Raw genomic sequence first — 8,665 nt, 5'->3', positions numbered from 1 at the left:
CCTATACTTTTCTTTATGTTGACTGATTTCGTATATACGGTTTTGGTAGATTGGAAACTTTGTATGTGTTTATATGTCCTCAGAACTGGAGGAATCTGCTATAAGGGGCCTTTTTGTTGGTGAACTTCCATGTGACAGAAGGACTTCCTAATCTTCTGCCTGAGTACATGTATTTGGCTGCTAAAATTCTGGGAAAGGGAAGGAAGAATGAAGGAAAGAAGCTTAGGAGCCCATTATTCAAGACAGGCGTCCACTTCATTCCTTGTTTTTGATACTATGACTCACCTCCACCTCTCTCTGGGCCTGGTGGCCTCACATCTGAAGCCTCTATAGTTTCATTTCTGCAAATAATAAGGCTTGAAGAGGGGTGACAGCAACTCCTGGCTGTGAGGGGTGGGAAGGGACACTTGGGATCCGTTATTTCCTTGCTCCATTTTTAGCCCATTGCCATATGCCTCAGTTGTCCATGGTAACTGGTACCTATAAATCCTGGAACTCTTGGGATCCCATCAGAGAAAATATACCCACTTCTTATCGACATCCCCCTTTGAAAACAATGAGGTTGTAACTTATGCTCCACGTCAGTTAGCTCTGTTTTCCATCTTCCATTTTTTAAAGACTAATATTTACATACATAAAAATTTTAATTCTCACTTGCTGATGTCTCTTGCTCCCTAATTTTTATCTTTGTAGGTTTATACTTTTAAAATTCCGTGTCTGCCATGCTGGTGGGGGTAGGGAGAGATCATTTAATTTTGTGTGGCTATATATTACCCTAAAATCTTGATGGGCTTTTGAGAAATCTCTCATGGCACACTGAAGAAATGCAGTTTCCAGCATTGGTCACACGGTGGCGGAGCGACCCTACGTTTAATTTATAGTTTCTCCATGCAAGCCCCACTGCCAACCCCACAAGAGTTGGGGTATTGGAGTCCTGGCTAATCCAGCAAGGTGGACTACAGAATTGTAGAATATTTCCATTGAACTGTTGGAGAGCTTTCGAGTCCATCTCCTTTAGAGACAAGGAAATGATTCACAGGAGTCAACTAATGTATCCAATACCCGGAAGTAGTAAGAATAAATTTGAACTTTAAATTTTTTTTTTTTTTTTTGAGGCGGAGTCTCACTCTGTTGCCTAGGCTGGAGTGCAGTGGTGTGATCTCGGCTCACTGCAACCTCCGCTTCCCAGGATCAAGTGATTCTCCTGCCTCAGCCTCCTGAGTAGCTGGGATTACAGGCATGCGTTCCCATGCCTGGCTAATTTTTGTATTTTTAGTAGAGACGGGGTTTCACCATGTTGGTCAGGCTGGTCTCAAACTCCTGACATTGTGATCCTCCCACCTCAGCTTCCCAAAGTGCTGAGATTACAGGCATGAGCCACCAGGCCCCGCCTTTTTTCTTTTTCTTTCTTTCTTTTTTTTTTTTTGAGACAGTCTTGCTCTGTTGCCCAGGCTGGAGTGCAGTGGCATGATCTCGGCTTACTAATACCTATCTCAGGTTCAAGTGATTCTCCTGCCTCAGCCTCCCAAGTAGCTGGGATTACAGGCACGTGCCACCACACCAGGCTAATTTTTATATTTTTAGTAGATGCAGGGTTTCACCATGTTGGCCAGGCTTGTCTCAAACTCCTGACCTCAAGTGATCCACCAGACTCGGCCTCCCAAGTGCTGGGATTACAGGCGTGAGCCACTGTGCCCAGACTAAAAGTTATAATTGAAGTTGCCTTTGAATCAAGATGGGACTGTGAATGTATGGAAGTGGGGGTGGGGAAAAGGAGGCCGCTGCATCCCCTGCTTGAATGTGATGGGAGAGGGAAGCTGAAGGAACGTCACCGGTTCACTCACTGCATGTTCTGAGCACCTGCTGCGTGGACAGCAATGCAATAAGATTTGTGAAAACACAAAAAGGACTAGAGTCCCTGCCCACCACTCGCTCACAATCCATTAAAGAGATAAGCCAGTTAACCACAAACAAGGAAGTAGGCAATAAATGCCCAACGGAAAAGCAGGCCAAATGTATTCTTCTCGGGATTTAGAAGAGAAAGGCAACTGCTCTGCTCAGAAGTGGGGAATATACCTGCTGGTGGGATTCGGGCTGGCCTTGGGAAAATAGCATAGGGCCACCTTTCTCAAATTGTAATTTGTGTGAGACTCCTCTGGGGCTTTTGTGTAATCATAGATGTGAATTGTGCAGAGCAGCTGCAGTTCTCAGAAGCTCCCAGGTGATTCCCATGCAGGTGATCTGAAGAACACACTTTGAGTAGCAAGGGTATGGGAACTGGTTCATGAACTTGGCTGCACATGGGAATCACATAGGAAGTTAAAAACGAACAAAAAGCCACTATCATCTCAGGAATTCTGGGGTGCAACCTTGGCATTAGTTTGTTTGCTTATTGTGTAAAGAAAGTGTCTCACTATACCCTCAGGCTGGTCTTGAACCCCTGGCCTCAAGCAGTCCTCCCATCTCGGCTTCCCAAAGTGCTGGGACTCCAGGCATGAACCACTGCACAGAGCCAGTGCTTGTATTTCTAAAAGCACTCCCCTAATGTGCAGTAAAGTTTGCACACCACTGGCATAGTAGATATTTGTCACTCTTTTTGCCCATCCAGTTACCTAAATCCCCCATCTTAGAGTCAGAGGCCACCTCCCACTATTGAAGCTGAAAACAAGAGATTCTCCCTTTTCCCCACTTCCCTGGCACCTGGGGCAGGGGCATGTATTTTGGGCTTCACCAACCAATAACCATCCAGACTGTGAACAAGAAGCCACTGAAACAAAGCAGAATCCATACAGTATCCATCCACCTTTGCAGGAGTTTTGGCACTGGCGGCAGCCAGTTTTCAGAGGCAGCAGGGACAATTCTTGGGGCGTGATGTCTGTGTTGATCAGCAGTGACTACAGGGCCTTAGCAGACCAATTCTTTTAAGTCTAATTTTGAGCACTGGTCTTGATGCACAATCTTTTTTGTTGTTGTTTTGGAGGGCACACCCGGATCTTGGTGCACAGCCTTTAAGACTGGTTCTATGGTCTTAGAGACTAGGAGCTACCCAGTATAACCGTAGACACACACGTTCACAGCCCTTTAGGGCTAAACTTATAATACATTTTTTTTTTTCGAGATGGGGGTCTCACTTTATCAACCAGGCTGGAGTGTGGAGTGGAGTGCAGTGGTGTAATCTTGGCTAACTATAGCCTCAACCTCCAGGACTCAACTGATCCTCCCACCTCAGTCTCCCAGGCAGCTGAGACCACAGATGCACACCACCATGCCTGGCTAATTTTTGTTATTTTTTGTAGAGACAGATTTTCGTCATGTTGCCCAGGCTGGTCTAGAACTATTGAGCTCAGGCAATCCACCCACCTCAGCCTCCCAAAGTGCTGAGATTACAGGCATGAGCCACCACGCCCAGCCCTTATAATACAAATTTTAAAACTTAATAAAACAAATGGGTAGATTAATAAATTGTTATAAGGCAAACCCCCTTGCAACCAATATCCATGTGAAAAGATTTTGCTATCCTAGGAACCCTCTGCTAAGAATATCCCTATCCTGGCCGGGCACAGTGGCTCCCGCCTGTAATCCCAGCACTTTGGGAGGCTGAGTGGGAGGCCGATTACCTGAGGTCAGGAGTTCGAGACCAGTCCGGGCAACATGGTGAAATGTCATCGCTGCTAAAAATATAAAAATTAGCCAGGCGTGGTGGTGGGTGCCTGTAATCCCAGCTACTGGGGAGGCTGAGGCATGAGAATCACTTGAAACTGGGAGGCAGAAGTTGCAGTGAGCCGAGATCATGCCATTGCACTCCAGCCTGGGTGACAGGGCGAGACTCTGTCTCAAAATAGTAATAATAATAATATCCCTATCCTGACTTCTAGGATAATGATTTTCTTAATTTACATTAGTATATTATGCTGTACTTTCCTAAACGCACTATAGTTCAGCTTTGCCTGCTTTTCTCTCTCTACCTATTGAAATTGAATTTTGAAGAGGCTGAAGCAATTGTCCTGTAAAGTTTACGGTCTGGATTTTGTTGATTGATTTAGTATAACATGTTCTGTGCTCGTTTTTCCTATAAATTAGCAGTTGGCTCTAAACTACAGATCTGATCTTTTGATCAGGCATGGCCTCCTCATAAGCATGGTGCTCTTGGTCAGAAGGAACATAAATGTCTGTTTTGTTGGATCTTTTTGTGATGTTAGTAGCCATCGACCGTTGCCTAGATCCATGAATTCATCAGAGGTTGTGAGATAAGACTCTATTACTTCTTCTTTTTGGTTGTTGTTGGAATACTTCTGTACAGAGAAACTTCATCTTGTTGACTATTCAGTTACGCAGTGGTATAGTTCATATAAGGAAGGTAAGATTAATTATTGATTCTTTTACTTACCACCAGAGGAGTTGTAGGGGGAGGGAAGAGCTATTTCCCTGGCATTCTCCAATAGTGACCAATTAGGGGTGTGTGCATGTGTGTTTGGTATCATCATAAACTCATGGATTTACACATATTCAACAGGTTCAGACTGTCCCATCTTTAGCCAGAGTGAGCATCTTCAAGTTAACTCCCAAGCCATCTTGATAACATCCCTAGATTTTGAGTTTGAGATCTGATGTAATCAGCTATTTCAGGCTCATTTTACCCCTTTCCTGACACAAACTTGGAATCTGCCATTTCAAGAAGCCCTGGTTTCAGAGGAGGGAGGGTGCACAGTCTCAGCCCAGAGCTTCAAAACAGCCCGGCGGCCTTGCCTCGCACCCCAGCCGGTCCATCGGTCCAGCAGCCTGCGTAGCGGCCAGCGCCGGCACATCCCGCTCTGGGCTTTAAACGTGACCCCTCGCCTCGCCCTGCCCTATGAAAATGTTGGTGCTTCTTACTTTCACCGTCGCCTTCCACATCACCTCTGCGGCCTTGCTGTTCATCGCCACCATCGACAATGCCTGGTGGGTAGGAAATGAGTTTTTTGCAGATGTCTGGAGAATATGTACCAAAAACACGAAGTGTACAGTAATCAATGACAGCTTTAAAGAGTACTCCATGGGCCGGGCGCGGTGGCTCACCCCTGTAATCCCAGCACTTTGGGAGGCCGAGGCATGCGGATTATGAGGTCAGGAGATAGAGACCAGCCTAGCCAACATAATGAAACTCCGTCTCTACTAAAAATACAAAAATTAGCCGGGCGTGGTGGTGCGTGCCTGTAATCCCAGCTACTCAGGAGGCTTGAGGCAGGAGAATCGCTTGAACCAGGGATTTGGAGGTTGCATTGAGCCAAGATTGCGCCACAGCACTCCAGCCTGGCGACAGAGCGAGACTCCGTCTCAAAAAAAAGAAAAAAAAAAAAGAGTACCCCACTCCGCGGCCGGGCATGGTAGCTCACGCCTTGTAATCCTAGCACTTTGGTAGGCTGAGGCGGGGGGTTCACCTGAGGTCGGGAGTTTGAGACCAGCCTCACCAACATGGAGAAACCCCATCTCTACTAAAAATACAAAATTAGTCGGGTGTGGTGGCACACACCTGTAGTCCCAGCTACTCGGGAGGCTGAGGCAGGAGAATCGCTTGAACCCGAGAGGCGGAGGTTGCAGTGAGCCGAGATCGCGCCACTGCACTCCAGCCTGGGCAACAAGAGCGAAACTCGTCTCAAAAAAAAAAAAAAAAAAAAAAAAAAAAAAAAAGTACACCATGCTACAATGTCATATCTGTGCCTCATGATTGCAGCCTCCATTTATACAGACAGGCGCGATGAAACAACGGATTTCTATTACCTGACCAAAGAAGGCAGCTATGGCTACTCCTACATCCTGGCGTGGGTGGCCTTCGCCTTCACCTTCATCAGCAGCATGATGTACCTGATAACTGAGGAAGCCGAATAGAGTTCCAGAGCTGGGTTGCTTTTGCTGCAGTATAAAATCCACATTCAGACAACCATTTTGTATATAATCTTTTTTTTTTTTAGGTTTTTCTAGCAAATGAATTGTTTCCTTTAAAAGTAAAAAAGAAAAAAAAAAAAAGCCCTGTTTCTTAAAGTGGGAGAAGGGACTTTCTTAGAGCCTACTGTAGTACTGTAATAACCTTCAGTTTATTGTGGGTCTCTCTTGCTCACTTGCTATTGGTAGTGTGCACACCCCTTCCAGTTCCAGCCACTGCTCTCAAGCTGGCTTGCAGCCTTCAAGTACCTGCTGGCTATCTGGAGCTCCCAGACCAATCAGATGCCCCATTGCTTCCCTTTGCTTTCTTCTGCGCGAGATGCTGAGGGGTAATATAAAGCAGAAACAGTAGTAAATGAAGTATACTTCGAGGGTATTACTCTTTGTTAGAAGGTGCCAAGGTTGGGCTAAATGGTCACACAACCACTCCAGACTCTTCCTGCTGTCTCTGCCACCTGTTCATTACCCCAGGCCCTCCTGAGAACTGTGATAAGGTGAAGTGAACACAGGAGGGACAGTGGTGTTGGCCTGGTTTCAAAATCCGACTCCAGCACCAACTGGCTGTGCAACCTTAAGCAAATGACTTAATCTGAGGCCGTTTCTTCTTGGGTACTAATTCACAAGGACGTTGAAGACCTAACCCAAAGTACCTAGAGCAGTGCCAAAAAAGCACCTAGCAGGCTCACCAGAAATACACCGCGCCCCCATTCACACACTACCTTTGCCTTCAACCCTGCATTTCCCTCTGCCATTTTAGCCCGGTCTTATTGAAACCCTGATTAACACGACTTCCCATGTGACCTCTAGAACCCTTGTTTCTCCTATTCAAATCCATCTAAACTTGCTTTCCACAAACACACTGCTCTCGCCACTCTCGAGTTTACCATGACTCCCCAGGGCCTGTCATTGTCTAGTCTCTGTGGTCTCTTCTTACAATGACCTCCCCATCTGCCCTAGCCAGTGAATCGACATTTCGAAGAACCAATTAATGTCCCTCCTCCCCCCAAAAGCAATCCCATTCTCACCAACTGAACTTGATATATTAATACAGCAATTAAAATCCAGATTACAATTATTTGGCTCTTGTATATGCTTAACTTGATGAATTACTTTTGTTTTCTAAACTAGACCATCGATTTAAGGGGGGAGACCATATCCTATTTCCCTACACCAATCTTGTTTGTTTTTTTTTTTTTTTTTTTTTTTTTTGAGACAGAGTCTTGTTCTGTCACCCAGGCTGGAGTGCAGTGGCATGATTTCGGCTCACTGCAACCTCTGCCTCCCGGATTCAAGCGATTCTCCTGCCTCAGCCTCCCAAGTAGTTGGGATTACAGGCATGTGTCACCATGCCCGGCTAATTTTTGTATTTTTAGTAGAGACAGGGTTTCACCATGTTGGCCAGGCTGGTCTCGAAGTCCTGACCTCAGGTGATCCACCCGCCTTGGCCTTCCAAAGTGTTGGGATTATAGGCGTGAGCCACTGCACCCAGCAAAGGCAGAATTGTAGGTCCCAACAAAACAAGTATGTTGGGGGGAAGGAATAGAACATTAAAAACACTCCATGTGATTCTTAAAATCACTGCATCTGAGAAAAACTCTACATATACTTTCAGCAGAGACAATCTTGTCAACAAATATTTATCTTTATTATTGACTAATAAAGCCTGAATATAGGATCAAACATTTCTTTTCCCTACACATAAAGACAAGGCTGTTGCTATGTATAACAAAAGCAGGAAATACTGTTTTTTGTTTTTTTTTTTTTGAGAAGGAGTCTTGCTCTATAGCCCAGGCTGGAGTGCTGTGGTGCGATCTCGGCTCACTGCAACCTCTGCCTCCTGGGTTCAAGTGATTCTCCTGCCTCAGCCTCCCAAGTAGCTGGGATTACAGGTATGCGCCACCACGCCCGGCTTTTAGTATTTTTAGTAGAGACGGGGTTTCATCATGTTGGCCAGGCTGGTCTTGAACTCCTGACCTCAGGTGATCCACCCGCCTCGGCCTCCCAAAGTGCTGGGATTACAGGCGTGAGCCACAGCGCCCAGCCAATACTTTTTTTTTTTTTTTTTTTTTTTTGAGACGGAGTCTTGCTCTGTCGCCCAGGCTGGAGTGCAGTGGCGCTATCTCGGCTCACTGCAGCCTCCTCCTCCTCCTCCCGGGTTCACGCCATTCTCCTGCCTCAGCCTCCCGAGTAGCTGGGACTACAGGCGCCCGCCACCACGCCCGGCTAATTTTTTTGTATTTTTAATAGAGACGGGGTTTTACCACGTTAGCCAGGATGGTCTCCATCTCCTGACTTCGTGATCCGTCCGCCTTGACCTCCCAAAGTGCTGGGATTACAGGCATGAGCCACCGCACCTGGCCAATACTTTGTTTCTTAGTAAGAGGCCAGCTGCTGCTAAAACAAGGATTTACCCTCCAGTATGAGGAGCCCAGCTTGGTCCCCCTGAGGAATCAGGTGACCTCAGCTGTAGTGGCCTTAGGCACATCCAACTAGTGTAAGCCAGGTGTGATTAGGATCGTGGCATCTCCTATTTTGGCACAAGGATGATTCCGCTTTAGGATCCCAGAGATAATTCTATTTTTTAATGTAGTTTCTCAGCAAAGACAGTTCTTGAAATTGCCTTTCCAGTTTTCCATAGGTTGACAGTGATTTCCCATTTTTGTCAACTCTTTGAGTTTGCGATTCCACATTTTTTTCAGAAGTAATCTTCCAATTCCATAAATAAATGAAAACCAAACCACACAGC

The 8,665-nt window shown here is 46.0% G+C and overlaps 1 pseudogene; it reads left to right on the top strand.

Annotated features, from left to right (window-relative positions):
- EMP2P1 (EMP2 pseudogene 1) lies at positions 4,753 to 6,003 on the top strand (annotated as a pseudogene).

This window comes from Homo sapiens, chromosome 2, assembly GCF_000001405.40.
Source record: "Homo sapiens chromosome 2, GRCh38.p14 Primary Assembly".
NCBI lineage: Eukaryota > Metazoa > Chordata > Mammalia > Primates > Hominidae > Homo > Homo sapiens.
This window is presented reverse-complemented; position numbering and strand designations above follow the sequence as displayed.